At 36.4% G+C, this 19,307-nt stretch overlaps 1 long non-coding RNA gene across 1 annotated transcript in view; it reads left to right on the top strand.

Moving 5' to 3' along the window:
• LOC105377198 (uncharacterized) overlaps positions 1 to 6,271 on the top strand; it is a 29,720-nt gene extending 23,449 nt beyond the window's left edge. Inside the window, exon 3 of the long non-coding RNA XR_941033.3 lies at positions 5,690 to 6,271. This is a non-coding gene — a long non-coding RNA (uncharacterized LOC105377198). The remainder of the gene's footprint in view (positions 1 to 5,689) is intronic.
• Positions 6,272 to 19,307: the final 13,036 nt, after the last annotated feature.

Here is a 19,307-nt window from a genome sequence, read left to right as displayed (position 1 = left end):
TTGAATTTGATTGGTGTCCTCTGAGCTTTATGTACCTGGATGGTGTCATTTTTCTCCAGATTTGGAAATTCTTCAGCCATTATTTCCTTAAATATGTTTTCTAGGACTTTTCATCTCTTTCAGAAATTTCTATTATCTGTTGGTTAGTTTGTTTGATCATGTCACATCAAGGCCAATTCTCATAGGCCTTCTTCCCCTCTTTTTAATTCTTTTTTTCCCTCTTTTGACTATATAATTTCACATATTCTATCTTCAAACTTGCTAATTCTTTTATCTGTTTGACCAAGTGTGGTGTTAGAGCATTGGAATAAATGTTTTCATTAGTTATTGTATTTTTTATGTCTGGGATTTCTATTTTTTGGTCAAATTTCTCATTTTGTTCCCAGATTATTTTCTAAATTTTATTAATTTTCTGTTTGCATTTTCTTATTTTTTTCTGAACTTATTTAAGATCCTTATTCTGAATTCTATGTCTAACATTTCATAGATCTTCAGTTCTTCGGGGCCAACTGCTGGAGTTTTGTTGGTTTCTTTTGATGATACCATGTTTCCACGAGCTTTCATGATCCTTGCATCTTTACATCGATGCCTGTGCGTTAGAGGAGGCAACCACCTCTTTCATTTTATGCAGTGTTCTTTGCTGGTGTTAGAACTTTACTCCTTACTATTGGAACTTAAACATTGGCCCGTTGTTTCTTTCCATTCTGAAGAATACGCATAGTGAGTAGCAGAACTAAAACACTGCCTTGGAACTAACTTACTGCCTTGTCATTGTTTTCTGGTCTGGAAAAAAACTCACAATGAACACCAAACCTTAAACTCTGCTCTGGAACTAAATCGCTGCCCTGGTATCTTTTCCCAGTCTGGAGGAGACTTGTGGTGAGCACTGGAATATAAATGTCTCCCCAGAATTGTACTGATGCCGTTTCATTGTTTACTAGTCTGGGGAAACCTTAAGCAGGAATTGGAACTTAATCCTGATCTTTTAGTAGTTCCAAGCCAGAAAACGGCTCCCTAGGAGCATCTGGGCTTTGTTGAACGTCTGGCCAGGGATTTGGGCCTTCTTGTGGACTGTGCCTCGTACAGTGGCATAGCACTAGCCAGTCTCTTCCACATGATGCCCTGCTGATAAGAGCACAGAGTAGCTGCCAAGATCGGCATGCTCTTCACTACTATCAGTGTCCTCTCTGTCCCCAGTTTACTCCATGTGGGTTATCCCTCATGGCACTCCCAGTGTTTCCCATGTATGCAACTGGAGTTGGCTTTCTATAAAAATTCCCAAACTGCTGGGGAGATCAAATATCCACCTCCATTTTCCTCCTCTTCCCTTGGAAACTATGGTTCTAGGGAAATTCTCTGTGAGTGGTGTTATGTGGGCATGGCTGATGCTCCAAAGTGACTGTTTCTCTTACCAGTTGTGGGTTCTCTCCATTCTGTTGGCCTGGGGGTGGTTTTCCACTTCTCTCAACTGAGTTCTGGTGAACTCAGAATGGTATTCTTGCCTTGGAATAGTTTTTAGTTGTATTTTTGTTTGAAGAGATGCTAGGGGATTTAACATTCTGCCATTTTGCCAATGTCCTAAAATATCTTATTAATAATGTTTCATTGATTGCATATTGAGATATTTTTGAGATACTGGGTTAATAAAAAATAGAAATAAAAATCAATTTCACCTGTCTCATTTATACTATTTAAAATGTGACTACTAGAAAATTTAGAAATGCATATGTGACTCATATTTGTGGTTCACGTTCTATTACTTAGCACTGGTTTTTTACAATAGGGATTGGCAAACTTTATCTAAAAAGGCACATAGTAAATATGTTAGGCTTTGAAGGCCACATATAGCCTCTGTAATATATTCATTTTTTCACAACCTTTAAAAATATAAAAACCATTTTAGCTTGTGAGCAAAAAACAACAGGCCACATGGCATATATGGTCCATGAGTCATTGTTTTCCAACCCATGGTTTGGAATATCATGTCTTCCACAAGGCAAGAAAATTGGGCTGACAAAACTAAAGAGAAAGTTTCATGTTAATAAAAACCATATCATTCAGACTTTATTATTTTAAAAGTTTCGAATTATAGTAAGTAACAATTATACTTCCTGGTTCACACAATTCGTAACTGGTGGTGAAGGGATTTGAACTTGGGTAGTCTCTCTTCAGATGCCATGCTCTTATCTAAAACCATATATACTTTGTGGTGGCTTTTTCATGTGTCAAACTGGCTGAGCTGAATTATGTTTCCTAGAATTCCCTTTTGTATATTTCCATTTAGGTGACTTACAAGGGATATTCTTGGGAAATTTAGAGGACAGAAAGGAAACAGCAGACATTCTGTAGCTCATACCAATTGTTGCTGATTTGTAGACTCTCCTTGGTGGCCTGAATCAACTGCTGGACTTGCAACTGCTTTGTTATCTCCTGAATCTCTCAGCTTCTCTGACAAGTCATGGTGTATTGTGTTTAGCTCCATGAGGATGGTCCTCAATTTCTGCAGGATACTCAGACCATGCTCTTAGAAGAAACTGCTGGTTTCAAATCTTACTGATGGAATTCCACCTCATGTATGTGGTTTTTAACCTTGTGAATTCCCTTGTTTTATATCCATCTCACTTTCTGGCTATGGGCTCTATGGACTAGCATCAGGTGTGAAGACAGCAGCCTTGCAGAGATTGCTTAACCACATATATGGATTTACTAAAGGGATTTGTCTTATAGAAGTTTTTTAACTATGGTATAAAATATGCAAAAAATGTATAGTTTTAATAATATACAATTATATATTCCAGTATATAATATACATTATATATAACATATCAGTGTATTTTACATATATATATACCCACACCAACACCCACACCCCCACACACACGTATAGTTTGTTTTTCCTTAGTGTATTTACTTTTCTTATTGAATTCTGAATGATACACTTTCTATGAAACAAAAAAGAGCTATATTAATACAAATTAAATTAAAATTGAAGTCACTATTCAATTTGTTCTAAAAGTTTGCAATGATTGAAATAGCTTGCTGTAAGGAGAGAGAGCCATTTACAGTTGAGATCTAATTCAGCGCTGTGAAGTCACAGGATTATTTTGCATTTGTCCATGTTTCAGTTATTAGCAAGCAGCATTTAAAAAGAAAGTTATAATAAGAATATATTTATTAATTAAGTAGTCAAATATATTGAACTCCAAAGATTGTGCATTTTAAGACATTTATGCCTTGATTACTACAGATATTTGAAATCTCTTATATTTTTAAAATTTCTCTTGAAATTTCTCAAAAATAATGTATGTCTAAACTTGTAATATCCATTTTCATGCTTACACTGTGATATTTTATTAACAGCTTTTGTGTATTCTTTCACATTTCCACTGTCATATAAAAATGCACATATGAAGGAGTTTTTTAAGAATATGTGGGCCTATTGTTTGATTTTACAGAAATAGGATCAACATTATATAACATTAATCAGCAACTTCTTTCTCCTATTCAACAATTCATCATCAATATTCCTTTAAATCAAAAGAAACACTTCTTTTCCAAAGTTATTTTGTTATAATTGCATAGTATTGCATAGAATAAATGTAACACAACTAATTTTTTTATTCTGTTCTTAATGGGTTTTTCAGATATTCCTTGGTCTTTTATTTCACAGAAATACTTCCAGAAATCTTTAAAATATAATCTTAAGTATTTATTTCAATTTCTGATATAGAGTTATTTCTAAACATGGTTAAAGGATACTATATATTTTTCACAAAAGTGTATTAGTTTGTAGTTCTGACAGTGAAGTATGAGAAAGCAGTTTTCATCCTGTTATTCCTCAGCATTGAATGTATTGCACTTCCTTTTTTAAAATTAATATCTAAAATATGGTATGTATTTATTGCTTTAATTTGCTTTTCCCTGAAAGTTGAGCATCTTGCTTTGTGTTTATTAGGTTTCTGCTTCTTGAGTGGATGATTCTCTTTCTGGATAAATCACAATATCAGTTTTGGTTTTGCCATTTTATCATGGATTTTTAAGAAGGTGTCCCTCAGTGTCTTTATAATTAATATTTGTTTAATACTTTGCTTATTTTTCAAGCTTTCTTATATCACAATCGAGCAGGAAATATTGCCCGCCAAATATGTATTTTATTGAAATCTTATTAAATTTTCCTTTGTAGATACAGAATAGCAATACATAACATGAAGAACAATACTATTTTTATGGGTATGCTAAATTGAGCTTGTTTATTGTGTCTTCTGTATTTATTCATGGTTTGATGGACCTGTCAAATTCTGAAAGTGGTGTATTAAAACCTCACACTATAATTGTACTTTTATTGCATTGACCTTTTATTTCTAGGGGTGTTTGCTTGATATATATATAACTGCAATACAATTTGATGCTTAAGAGAATATTGCTATACTTTCTATGTAGATTACACAGTTTATTCTTAAATACTTTTTTTCTCTATTTTTGATGCTTTTGACCTTGAAATCCTCTTTCTGGTAATATGTTTTTACTTCTTCTTGTACTCGTTTGAAATTTCTTTATCTGTGTTTATTCTTTTCATTTTCAACTTTTTTTTTTTTACTGCTTAATTTGTTACCTGTAAACAAATATAACTGGGGTTAGTTTTTAGAACCCTATTTAACAGTCTAGGATTTTTATAGCATAACTCAGCATGTTTGGATTGCATCAATATAGATTTAATTGGTTTTATTGAAAGCACTCTTTTTAAGCTTATGTGTTCCTTTGTTTATGTTTATTGTTGTTTTTGCTTTTTTCTCCCTCATTTTACTTTTTCTGGCTTGTTCAAGCTCCAATTTATTCCTTTATTCCATTTTCATTTGAACATGCTACTGTAATTTTCAATTCTGTAAGTAGTTCCTTTTACTTTTCTAATTAAACAATATTTCTCCATTATAATATTAAAAGAAAATAGTAAGTTTATTTCAGTTTTCTCTTCTGTCTCCCCAGATGAGACCTTTAAATTATCTTACTTTCCCACATTCATTGTTTCTTGCCTCCACTCCTCTTCTCTTTCTCTCCCACCTCCACATCTGTTCCAGGTTTTGCTGAGACGATTTAGAACACTAAGTACTAGGCCATTATTAGGTGTCCATTTAGAGTATATGAGTTTCAAGAAATAGTACTATATTGGTGAGAGAAATCCAGATTATACTATAGTCAACGAAGCTTTGTTTATTTATTTCTCAAGTGATATGCTTGGTTCTGTGTCCCCACTCAAATCTCATCTCGATTTGTAATCCCCATAATCCCCATGTGTCAAGGGAGGAACCCAGTGGGAGGTGACTGGATCACGAGGGCAGTTTTCCCCACGCTGTTCTCATGATAGTGGCTGAGTTCTCACAGGATCTGATGGTTTTGTAAGGGGCTCTTCCCCTTTCACTCACACGCTTCTCTCTCTTGCCACCATGTGAAAAAGGTCCAAACTTGCTTCCCCTTCGCCTTCCACCATGATTGCAAGTTTTCTGAGGCCTCTCCAGCCATGCAGAGCTGAGTCAATTAAACCTCTTTCCTTTATAAATTACCCAGTCTCTAGATATTTCTTTACAGCAATGTGAAAGTGGACTAATACACCAGGTGTAGGGTGAGTCTCAGGGTAGTTGCCCTTTATGTGAGATTCTGCATCGTCACATCAATACATGTTTTCATTTTGCAGGAGGAGAAGAACACATTGCAGAACAGAAGATGGCAAATAAATGCTTTTCCATGAAAGAGGCACAGATTGCTTCTACTTACCAAAGCAAGTCACATGGCCATGCCTCACCAAGGAGTTAAGAAAGCAGAGTCCTCCCAAGGAAGCATGTGTCCAGGAAAGAACTGTATATTGTTGACTAGCAACAATGTCTGACACCTTGACTTAAACTTTACGTTACAAATTTCTGATCACATTAGCTATAACCTTTTGAAACTTACCAATAGGCTGGCCACAGTGGCCCACACCTGTAATCCCAGCACTTTGGGAGGCTGAGGAGGGCAGATCATGAGGTGAGGAGATTGAGACCATCCTGGCTAACACTGTGAAATCCCGTCTCTACTAAAAATACAAAAAAATTTCCGGGTGTGGTGGCGTGCGCTTGTAGTTCCAGCTACTTGGGAGGCTGAAGCAGAAGAATCACTTGAACCTGGGAGGCAGAGGTTGCAGTGACCCGAGGCCGCACCACTGCACTCCAGCCTGGGTGACAGAGTGAGACTCCTTCTCAAAAAAAAAAAAAAAAAAAAAACGGAAAAAAAAAAGAAACAACAATATACACCAATATTCTTTTTTTATTATGTTTATTTCATTTATTTTTCCCAGTAAAACAAATTATTTAATTTTTATTTGGTAACAGCACTTCACCTATAATTTTCTTCAGAATAAGCATATGAGCCACATAATTTCTGAATCTTCACATGTCTTTGGGATGATTAATATTTTGATTGGGCATAGGCTCTTTGGAATGCAATCTTCTTTCTTTCAGTAGTCTATAGATATTATTTCAGGTTTTTTAGCTTTCAGTGTGGCAGATATTGAGCCATCCTATGACAGATTCTTTTAGTTTTTAAAATAATCCATTCTTTCTATTAACCTGTTTTTCTCTTTATCATTAGTATGTAAATTTTACCCAAATATGTCGAGTTTACTTCTTTCCTTATCAATCTGTTTTAGTGTTTTCTATTGCTTATAACAGAATACCTGGCACTGAATAATTTATACTGAAAAGAATTAATTTTTTACAGTGATGGAGGCTGAGAAGTTCAAGGTATAGGAGCTGCATCAGGTGGGAGCCTACTTGCTGCTGGGGACTCTGTAGAGTCCTGAAGGGGTGCAGGGTTTCACTTGGCAAGGAGGCTGAAAGTGCTTATTCCGGTGTCTCTTCCTCTTTTTATAAAGCTATCAGTTCCACTCTCATAGTAAACCAATACTTTGTTAACCCAATGGATTAATCCTTTAAGATCTGATCACATTTTAAAGGCCTTATTTCTCAATACTGTCAAATTGGGGATTAAGTTTCAACATGAGTTTTGGAGGGAAATTCAAACCATAGCACAATCCTTAGTAAGATTTGGCAACATTCTTTTTTCCTGAAGGCAACACAGATTTTTTCTTTTCAAGTCAAGAAAAAATATCTTATGTTTTGAATTTTGTTTCTTTTTTTTCATATGTTATTATCAGTACTGTAAGGCTTTTGGAACTGTACTCTAATGCTTTTTTAAAATTTCATTTTCTGTCTTTGTGCACTGACAGTGTGTGTGTGTGAGTGATGATGTTTCCCTCTGGTTGTGATATTTCTTACACTAAGTCTTACCACAAATCTGGTTATTAGTGGTGAACACATGCCAATTTGTTTATGTAATTTTTAATTTAAAAAGTCAAATGTTTCAGTTGCTAAGCTAGTCTCTCTGGAGATCCCCTTGGGAGTCTTGTTATGTTTTCTTCTGAATTCTTAGTTCCCACATGAGAACCACTTGTTTCAAATTGGGGTTGGTGGGGAGCAGGGGTAAATTTTGTTCCTCATTTGCTAAAATTCCCTTAAGTGACTTTTTTTTTTAAATTTGATCATGAATGTTGCGACCTGCTAGTTGTGTGGTAGAAAACCAACATGGTGGTTAACGAGTAGTAGATGGCAGGATAAATATGACTTTTGTGGGCTGTAGTAAGTAAATTGAAAGGGTCTTTGATCCATTTTTCCACTCAGCACATTCTTATTTATTTATTTATTATACTTTAAGTTTTAGGGTACATGTGCACAACGTGCAGGTTTGTTACATATGTATACATGTGCCATGTACGTTTGCTGCACCCATTAGCTTGTCAATTACATTAGGTATTTCTCCTAATGCTATCCCTCCCCCATACCCCCACCCCATGACAGGCCCTGCTGTGTGATGTTCCCCTTCCTGTGTCCAAGTGTTCTCATTGTTCAATTCCCACCTATGAGTGAGAACATGCAGTGTTTGGTTTTTTGTCTTTGCGATAGTTTGCTCAGAATGATGGTTTCCAGCTTCATCCATGTCCCTGTAAAGGACATGAACTTATCCTTTTTTACGGCTGCATAGTATTCCATGGTGTATATGTGCCACATTTTCTTAATCCAGTCTATCATTGATGGACATTTGGGTTGGTTCCAAGTCTTTGCTATTGTGAATAGTGCCACAATAAACATATGTGTGCATGTGTCTTTATAGTAGAATGATTTATAATCCTTTGGGTATATACCCAGTAATGGGATGGCAGGGTCAAATGGTATTTCTAGTTCTAGATCCTTGAGGAATGACCACACTGTCTTCCACAATGGTTGAACTAGTTTACAGTCCCACCAACAGTGTAAAAGCATTCCTATTTCTCCACATCCTCTCCAGCATCTGTTGTTTCCTGACTTTTTAATGATCGCCATTCTAACTGTTGTGAGATGGTATCTCATTGTGGTTTTGATTTGCGTTTCTCGGATGACCAGTGATGATGAGCATTTTTTCATGTGTCTTTTGGCTGCATAAATGTCTTCTTTTGAGAAATGTCTGTTCATATCCTTTGCCCATTTTTTGATGGGGTTGTTTGTTTTTTTCTTGTAAATTTGTTTGAGTTCATTGTAGATTCTGGATATTAGCCCTTTGTCAGATGCGTAGATTGCAAAAATTTTCTCCCATTCTGTAGGTTGCCTGTTCAGTCTGATGGTAGTTTCTTTTGCTGTGCAGAAGCTCTTGAGTTTGATTAGATCCCATTTGTCAATTTTGGCTTTTGTTGCCATTGCTTTTGGTGTTTTAGACATGAAGTCCTTGCCCATGCCTATGTCCTGAATGATATTGCCTAGGTTTTCTTCTAGGGTTTTTATGTTTTTAGGTCTAACATTTAAGTCTTTAGTCCATCTTGAATTAATTTTTGCATAAGATGTAAAGAAGGGATCCAGTTTCAGCTTTCTACATATGGCTAGCCAGTTTTCCCAGCACCATTTATTAAATAGGGAATCCTTTCCCCATTGCTTGTTTTTCTCAGGTTTGTCAAAGATCAGATGGTTGTAGATGTGTGGTGTTATTTCTGAGGCCTCTGTTCTGTTCCATTGGTCTATATCTCTATTTTGGTACAAGTACCATGCTGTTTTTGTTACTGTAGCCTTGTAATATAGTTTGAAGTCAGGTAGCGTGATGCCTCCAGCTTTGTTCTTTTTGCTTAGGATTATCTTGGCAATGTGGGCCCTTTTTTGGTACCATGTGGACTTTAGTGTTTTTTTTTTTTTCCCAATTCTGTGAAGAAAGTCATTGGTAACTTGATGGGAATGACATTGAATCTGTAAATTACCTTGGGCAGTATGGCCATTTTCACAATATTGATTCTTCCTATCCATGAGCATGCAGTGTTCTTCCATTTGTTTGTGTCCTCTTTTATTGAGTTGAGCAGTGTGGTTTGTAGTTCTCCTTGAAGAGATCCTTCACATCCCTTGTAAGTTGGATTCCTAGATATTTTATTCTTTTTGTAGCAATTGTGAATAGGAGTTCACTCATGATTTGGCTCTCTGTTGCTCTGTTATTGGCGTATAAGAATGCTTGTGATTTTTGCACATTGATTTTGTATCCTGAGACTTTGCTGAAGTTGCTTATCAGCTTAAGGAGATTTTGGGCTGAGACGATGGGGTTTTCTAAATATACTCAATACATTCTTTAAAGTGATGATAACATTTTAGGTTGGAAGTTATTATTCTTCAGAGTTTGGAAGGTACTTTGCTCTTGTATTTCAGCTCCCCATATGTTAGTGACTGAATTATGTCCCCCTCAGTTTCATATGTTGAAGCCCTAACTCCCAATGTAACCATATTTGGAGATGGGGCTTTTAATGAGGTATAAGGTTAAATGAGATAAGCATAGGGCTTTAATTTAATATGACTGACCATGTGAGAATGCAGTGAGAAGGCAGCCACCTGCAAGTCATGGAGATTAGCCTTGGGAGAAAGTAAACCTACCAACACTTATATCTTGGACACCTAACTGCCAGGCTGTAAGAAAAGAAATTTCTCTTGTTTAAGCTACTGTATTTGTCCATTTACATAGCTATAAAGGAATATCTCAGGCTGGGTAAGTTATAAAGAAAAGAGGTTTATTTGGCTCATGGTTCTGCAGGCTGTACGAGTATGACATCAGCATCTGCTTGACTTCTGGTCAAGCCCAGGAAGCTTTTGGTCATGGTGGAAGGGAAGGGGAGCTGGCATATCACAAGGTGAGACAGGGAGCAACAGAGATGCCAGGCTCTTCTAAACAGCCATCTCCTGCGTGAATTCATTACTGTGGGGAGGGCACCAAGCCGTTCATGAAGGACTGACCCTGTGACTTGAACACTCCCCACTCTGACATCAGGGATCACATTTCAACATGAGATATGGAGGAGACAAACATCCAAACCATCTCAGCTACCTAATCTGTGGAATTTTGTCATGGGAGCCCTGGCAGCCATGTTACTGTGGAGAATATGAAGTCACTCTGGTCTCTTTTATTTTGCACTGATTGTAGTATGTCTCTGACACAGGTGTTCAGAGAGTTGTGACGTACCTTGGCTTGGAACTATCTTTATGCATTTTGCGGGGATCAGTCAGGAGGCTCATGTCCTTTAATACTAGATGTTCTCGAATTTTTCTCAAAAATTATCTTGTAATATTTCTTTTATCCCTTGTCCTCCTTAGTTTTTTATCTTTTTCAAGAGCCCCTATTTAGAGGTTGTGCCTCAAAAACTACTCTTCTGGATTTAATATATTTTCTCAACTATTTTCTCTTCGCTTTAATATATTTCTTTAATATTTAAACTTTGTCTTCTAATCCATCTATTTTTTCCTTCAATTTGTCTTATTTTTAATTTTCAGGAACTCATATTTGTTCTCGATAGAGATTTCTAAAGACTTCATGACTGCTGTATTAAAGCAATGACTAATCTCTCAAATTATATTAAAGATATTTTGAAACTTTCTTCTCATAGTCTGTTTTTCTATTATTTTTGTTCTTTGTTTATTTTGATTTCTATTTTCTATGTAGAGATTTTCTTCAGATACTTGGTATTTCTAATTAAGGTGAGAGTGGGAGATGTGGGAAGATGGTTAAAGTGTCACTCTAAGGCACTGATTCTTAACGAAGTGTAATTTTGCCTCTCACAGGATATTTGGCAATGCCTGAAGACATTTTTCATCATCATGAATCAGAGAGGGGAAGTGCTACTGGTATCTAAAGGGAAGAGGCCAAGGGTGTTATTAAACATCCTGCAATGCCCAGGACAGCCCCATACAACAAAGAATTATCCAGTCTAAAATGTTAATAATGCCACTGTTAAGAAACGTTGTTCTAGGATAATCTAGGTGATAACTTTATTGGAAACTTAGGTCTGTATGTGTAGGTGTTTCTCTTGGGCTTGACAGATTCCCCAGAGAATTTTTTTCTGTATTTTACATGGAGACTAACAGTTGGGCTATCAGCTTTCTGAAAGTTTTTTTAGAAGGTGTGTTAGTCAGCTCTCGTATTGATATATAGAAATACCTGAAACTGGGTAATTTATAAAGAAACGAGGTTTAAATGTCTCAGTTCTACAGGCTGTACGGGAAAGCACAGCATCAGCATCTGCTCCTGGGGAGGCCTCTGGAAGCTTACAATCGTGGAAGGCCAAGTGGGAGCTTGCATATCCCACAGTAAAAGCAGGAGTGAGAGTGAGGTGGGGAGGTGCTACACACTTTTAAACAACCAGATCTTGTGAGAACTCACTATCATGAGAACAGCATCAAGGGGATAGTGCTAAACCATTCATGAAAAATTCACCCCCCATGATCTAATCACCTCCCACCAGGCTGCACCCCCAACACTGGGGATTATAACTGGACATGAGATTTGGGCAGGGACACAAATCCAAACTATAAAAGAAGGGGTCTTTGGTCTTTGGCATTTGGCATTCTGGATGCATATGTTCACTAATCCCTCTGTTTTAGGTTAGAGCCCGTCTACCATAATCCACTGCAAAGACTTTTCATTACATCCTTTCTAATGAATACATCTTCAGAAAAAGTAATGATGATGAGGCAATGGGGAGGGAGACTTTTCTCAAGAAATATAAAATGGCAAGTTTAATGCTTCTCAAACAACGTTAACCTAATCCTCCTTATATTTATGCTTCCCTGACTTCCCAGTTAGAGAGGTATCTGATGTATAAGTCCATAAAACTTAAGCATTCTTTGATATAAACTAAATTATTTCTCAGCTTTCTTCACTAGCTGAACTAAGGTTTGGTTTTCTTGGATATTCTCTATCAATCACCTTTTCTGCCACTTGTCTTCTGCTGTATCATTTGCTGTTCCTCCGTGCTTCTCAGGTTATGCTTTAAAAAAATTCTTTACTGTAGATTTATTGGATTTTCAGGAGAAAGTGACATTATATGTGCCATTTAGTGCAGAAATCAAAGTTCAATTTAAATGCCAGAGTTTTGTCAGAGGAAATCTATAGGGCATTTTTTCCCTCCGATTTGCTGTGAAAAATGCTGCACATTTCACAGAGTTGACTTTATCTCTGTTTATGTACATCAAGAGCGTTCTCGGCCGGGCGCGGTGGCTCATGCCTGTAATCCCAGCACTTTGGGAGGCCAAGACGGGCAGATCACAAGGTCAGGAGATCGAGACCATCCTGGCTAACACGGTGAAACCCCGTCTCTACTAAAAATACAAAAAAATTAGCCGGGCGTGGTGGCGGGCACCTGCAGTCCCAGCTACTTGGGAGGCTGAGGCAGGAGAATGGCGTGAACCCGGGAGGCGGAGCTTGTAGTGAGCCAAGATCGCGCCACTGCACTCCAGCCTGGGTGACAGAGCGAGACTTCTCTTTTCATTTGATCTAAGTGCTCTGTGATCCCTGGCCACTGCTCCTGCGTTCTGCCCATGCTGTGGAGTTGGGCAGGAGTGTTTTCTACCCCCTTACAGGAAGAGTATCTTCCTGACTCAGATTTGCTGGACAAAGGAACTTCTTTGAGCTAATGGATGGCTGATACCACACTTCTTCCCTAAGTGTTTTATGTATCTTTCCTGGCCATGGTGCTCTGGATACACCTAATCAATAATTTCATACTCAATGTAAAACGAGTTGTAAAAACTTGAGACAGATGAATCTAAATGTTTAGAACTTTTGACTTCGGTTTTAGGAAAATTGTGAGATAAATGTCTCATCAATATCTCTCAAATTATGGAATATGAATGACAGCCAACTCTCTCTTTTTATGTGTTTTGCATGCATGTGTGTGTCTGTGTCTGTGCAGGTGTATACATTTCTACCTAAGTGGGAAGGTTTCCCCTTTCTCCTTATAAGAACTTTTGGATAGCAATAGAACTTTCTGTTCTTTTTAAAAAAATTCTGCTTATGTTACTCTCATGTTATGTGAGACTAATATGTTTCCCTCCATCTTTCTCTCTTTCTCTGTCTCTCTCTCACATGCACACACACACACCATATATAATGTCAAATATATTTACACAAATCTGCCTGTGGGTTTGGAAAATTGTAAAGAAAATTATGTAAAATTATTAAGATATATTTCAGTAGTTAATAATTGGTAATATTATAGTTTCTAACATTTAGATTTGTCTTCTGACTCCCTCCTTTCCCCACTGGATCCTATACAATGTAGAGGAGTTATAAATAAAGTTCTCTAAAATTTTGATGCATAAGCATCAAGGTTTTTAAATCCTCTTAGCAGAGTGGAAAAGACAGGTCACAGAGGAATTCTCCCAGGATTCACCACCACATCTTCCTGCACAAAAACAGTCTTTGGTGGTATCTGGTGAGCAGCAGCTATCCTCGCAGAATTGTGGCAGACCTGGGTGGGTAATGGAAGCACCTCACAGGAACTGACTGGATAGTGTACCAATTGTCAGAGGTTTTCTGGTCACTCACAGGATAATTAAGCAGGGAGAAGGAATATGGGGCAAGCATTTTCAAATTACTGAAATTCTTATATGGCTAGATGTGGGTGAGAACCAGCGAAATTTGAATTACTGTTAGAAATGTGATTTCATTTATATGAATAGGTTGAGGAAATCCCAGTTATGCTAAAAGAACTTATGGTTATTAGATATGAATAACTTTTTCCTTGGGTGATGGTAATTTTCGATCGAGAAGCATTTACATGAGAAGGGATCATTTTAGGAGGCCAATGCCCTATCCATTAGGCCACTGGGTCTTCCAGAAGGTATCATTCTATAGGGTTTTAAATAAACTTTTTTTTCTTTTGAGGGGGAAGTATTTTGTTTTCTTTAAATTTCATCATCACTTATGAATATTTGTTAGAAGATTCTTTCTAGAATTTTAGTATTAACAAAATACTGGGGTATGTAATCTAATTGAAAGCTGTTTCTCCAACTCATTCCCTTTAAACGTTCAAAATATGATGTTGAAAGATAATATTTAGAGTAACATTAAAAAATGTTCCAACTGCCTAAGAGAAAATCAAATAAAATATTAGCAAAAATTGTATACAGAAACTATTATCAAGAGAAACTAAAGAGATCTCAATGCTTACATTAGAAAATAAGAAAGGTCTAAAGTCAGAAGTTTTAAACCAACACCTTAGAAAGATAGAAAAGGAAGGGCCGAATAAACTTAAAGTAAGAACCCTCCAAGACTTCCCTGAGCAGCTGCTCTGTGCTGCTATGGTATTTGAACATTGTGCGCATATTTGGATTTAAAAATTCTCTTCACGTAGTAGCCACCATTCCTTTTTCACCTGCGTCAACTGCCATGGTGTCCTTGAAATATTTCTCTCTGGAATGCAACTCTAAAACAGTATTGTGACATTTGCTGTGTGTGTGTAGTAAGACAGCTGTTTATGCTAGATATATATTTGCTCACAATATTCTTTAAAAGGTAAATATTTTCATTTTTATAAGTTATAATGTAATTCAGAAATAAGTAATTTTTCATGATTTACCTACCTGGAACCCCCATCACTAGAAATTATGAACTCTACATCTGACTAATAATTTGAAAAATTTTGTAGAGATTGTCTAATGCTATACGTAATCAGACAATATGAATATCTTGTGCATTAATTTAAAATATGATTTTTAATAACCAGACAAATTATTTGCTCAAAAACTCAGTTCTTCAGTCTAATAAACACATCTTTCCCCAGCAAACTTTTCAGACTCCAAACTTTTCAGGGACTCCAATTTTTCACTTAAAAATTGCAAAAAATAATACTCTGTAATGTTCCATATGTACAAAAAGAGTGAGACTTTATCTCTGTTTATGTACATCAAGAGTGTTCTCTTTTCATTTTATCTAAGTGCTCTGTGATCCCTGGCCTCTGTCCTATGGTAGGACAGAGGTGATTAAGCAATTGTTTTCTGTTTTTGCAGAACTGAGTATTTTCTTCATTTACTTATGCAAATTTTAAGTTTACTTACTCTTCATGCTTTGCACCTAGCTTTTTCAAAGACGTATATATATTACCTTTAGAATGAGAAAAGTCATTTTAAAAAGAACAAAATGATTGAAAATTTCATCATTATTAGTTAAGTTCATAATGTATAATTTCTTTGAGTAGATAAGATTCTGGAACTTTCATTTGACTTTAGGAATACTTTATCAATGATAAAGAGAATACTATTTGAAAGGTATTGGTTCATTACTCAAACCTGAAAAACACAACACAAAAGGAAACAGGAAAATATTACTATATTACTATAGCATTGCAGTAATTTTACTTGGTACATATTTCATATTCTTACTAGTTCATTTAGATGACTAACCATGCCATACTGTTATATTATTAGCATCAACATCTGTGGCCATTGTAAGCCCACAAGACAAATTCAGCATCCGGATATGTCTAGGTCCCACAATATGCCAATAGTGAGGATTGCAAATTGTCATAATAGTCATGACTCCAATATGTGAAGAAAGTTTCATAATTGAAACAACAACAAAAATATGTTCTTTGAGAGCAAAAATTTGGTTGAGCAGATGTTTTTCAAAGATAATTATATTGGAAAGGCAATTACATAATTTTTGTTATAGATAGGTATACCAATTGAAAACAAGTATTAAAGAATCTGATTTTGTGTGGGTATAAAGCCACAAAAGCGTGCTATGTATATTGTAAATCTCACAGTTGGTGAGTACATGATTAACAAGTCTTAACTTTAAAAACTATGAAATACTTACGTAGAAGACATTGTTTTCAACCTTCTACATAGCCAAATGATAGATCCTAAATATACTATTTGTGTTTTTATTATAACTTATTTGCAGAATAGTAAGGTCAAATTGATATCTATTAAACTTTCTGACAAATGTACGTTAATCCAGGTTTATGTAGCAAACACCTGAGTATACACAAAGAGTCATGTTTTTACTCTGTTTCCAGCTCAGGCCTTCATTTTCTGAGGACCTTATTGTTTTAAACTTACCAACACATTCTGGACAAAGACTGTAGGACCAGCTCTGATAAACCCAAACCCTCTCTTATGAAAATCAATCCTCCCATTTCCAAAAACAATATGAGAAAGTGGTTCTTGCCTCAAAGCAAGATGGAGGAAGTCCCAGATAATTTGGATTATCTGTATTTGGTAAATTTAAGTGTTTTAGGATCATGTAGTTCTGCCATAAGTGAACGTCACAGAATAACCAAATGAAAAGTATCTGCATCTGACCATGAAACTTCATAGAATTACTTACTTATCTCAATTATTTACACCCAATGAAGCTTTTCTGTCAGTTTTTGGCACCTTGTCTTTGACCCAATCTTAGTCTGTCTCTCATTAGATCATTAGAATGCTCACTTGGTTTCTATCACTATCTGACACTTCCAAACTATAATTCCCAGCTGTCTAGTTGTCTACCTCAGTCACGACACCAATTTAAATTTTACTTTGCTGCTCTCTCTGGGGGTCTCCCCTAAGATAATTCATTAGCGAATGCATTTTGGTACTTGTTTATGTTTTTTTCCAGTTAGTTTGATGTGGCTGGCAAAGATATTGTCTGTGGTGGCAATGTAGATGATTTGGAAAGCTGTTACAGCATTTATTTTGAACAGCAAAGCAATACTTCATTGGCAGAGGATTCTAATAAAACTCTCAATGTGCGTTATGTGAGATCCTGGAAACCTATTTCTGATTTCCACATATTAGGCTAATATTTTTATTTTCATTTAGTTTGATTTTTTCTTTTGTTATGGAACATTACAGAGTATTATTTTTTGCAATTTTTAAGTGAAAAATTGGAGTCCCTGCACAAATTTTCCTTAAACAGAACCAGGTAATATGTAGAGATAAGTGATGCTTGTCTCCATGTTAATGCAATAAGAGCAGTTGTGTTCAACCCTTCAATTGTCAGTTCTTAGCTAATGGAGATGACTGCAATTTAGAGAAAATTAAATTATTTTCTAATAAAAAGAATAGATTTGAAGAAATTTCATTTTAAGTATTTATCTACAGTGGGCTAAATGTGGAGTAAAGGCTTTTAGAATCATTGTCTTTCAAAATTGGAAGATAACTCAGTAATAAAACAGTCTAAGCCCTACTTTTTTGATGTACAAATTCTGTCTTCCATAAACTCTAATTTTGTCCTGAGTCCCTCCAGTGGAGGGAGACTTGTAAAATATAAACTTTCCATAGAATATTATTCATGTATACAGGCATCTTCTTCCAATACATGTCTCATCTACACTGAAAGTTTGTTGTTTAGTGTGCCACCTTCATCAATAATCTTAACTAGATCTTCTAAATAACTTGCTGTAGCTTCTCCATCATAACTTGCTGCTTCATCTTGCACTTTTATTTTATGGATAGAGCTTCTTTTCTTAAACCTCATGAACCAACCTCTGCTGGCTTCAAATTTTTCTTCTGCAGCTTTCTTACCTCTCAGCCTTCATAGAATTGAAGAGTTGGGGCCTTGCTTTGGATTAGGCTTTGGCTTAAGGGTGTGTTGTGGCTGGTTGGATCTTCTATCCAGACCACTAAAACTTTCTCCATATAAGCAATATGATGATTTTGCTTTCTTATCACTCGTGTATTCACTGGAGCAGCACTTTTCATTTCCTTAAACTTTTCCTTTGCATTCACAACTTGGCCAAGAGTTTGGTGCAAGAGGCTTAGCTGTCAGCCTATCTCTGCCTTTGACACACCTTCCTCACTAAGCTTCATCCTTTCTAGCTTTTTTTGTGGGGGATGGAGTCTCACTCTGTCATCCAGGCTGGAGTGCAGTGGCACGATCTCTGCTTATGGCAACCTCCGCCTCCTGGGTTCAAGAAATTATCCTGCCTCAGCCTCCCTAGTAGCTGGGATTACAGGTGCATGCCACCACACCTGGAAAGCTAGAGACAGGAAACTCTTCTTTTCATTCCAAAAATTAGAGACCATTGTAGGATTTTCACTGGTCTAATTTTAATATTGTTGCATTTCGGGGAAGAGGGTGACTCTATGAGAGGGAGAGAGATGGGGGCATGACTGGTCAGTGGAGCAGTCAGAACACACACAGTATTTATTTGTTAAGTTTGGCATCTTATATGTGTGCATTTTTGGCACCCCAAAACAATTACAATAGTAACATTGAAGATCACTGGTCACAGATCACCATAACAGATATAATAATAATAAAAATTTGAAATATTACTGGAATGACCAAAATGTGACATGGAGACACAAAATGAGCACATGCTGTTGGAAAAATGATACCCATTGACTTGCCTGATGCAGGGTTGCCACAAACCTCCAATTTGTGAAAAATGCAATATATGCAGAAAGCAATAAAGTGAAATGCAATAAAACAAGGTATGCCTATCCTCACTGCCAAAGCAGTGGTTCTCAAACTTCACCTGGCTTAGAAGCAGCTGAACAGCTTGTTAAAATACACTGAGCCCCGGTGTCTCTGATTCAGTATTTCTCAGGTGGGGATGATAATTTGAATTTCTTACAATTGTCCAGGTGATGTTGATCCTGCTGAACCTGGACCACACTTTGAGAATCATTTCTCAAGATGTAACTTTCATATCTATTCTCTCACCTAACTTTATTTCAGTATTTTGCTTCTAGGGTCCCTAGCTGGCTAAATCTAGCACCTACATCAGGCAGTTCTATGACGTATCTCTTGTACTCTGAATAACCACTTTTTGTTTTTGCTTTTAAATTTTATCCACACTATTATGCCACTCTCTAGATCTCGGTTATTCATATCTCCAACTTGAGTATGCTTTACTGGAATTGCTGAATTATGTGGCAAAGTCATAAAGTAGTATTCATTCAACAACTATTGTTTGGGCTCATAGCCCCTACCAGACATTGTTCTAGACAATG

This window comes from Homo sapiens, chromosome 3, assembly GCF_000001405.40.
Source record: "Homo sapiens chromosome 3, GRCh38.p14 Primary Assembly".
In the NCBI taxonomy this organism is placed as follows: Eukaryota; Metazoa; Chordata; class Mammalia; order Primates; family Hominidae; genus Homo; species Homo sapiens.
Note: the sequence above shows the minus strand (reverse complement) of the source record. Positions and strands in the feature narration are given on the sequence as shown.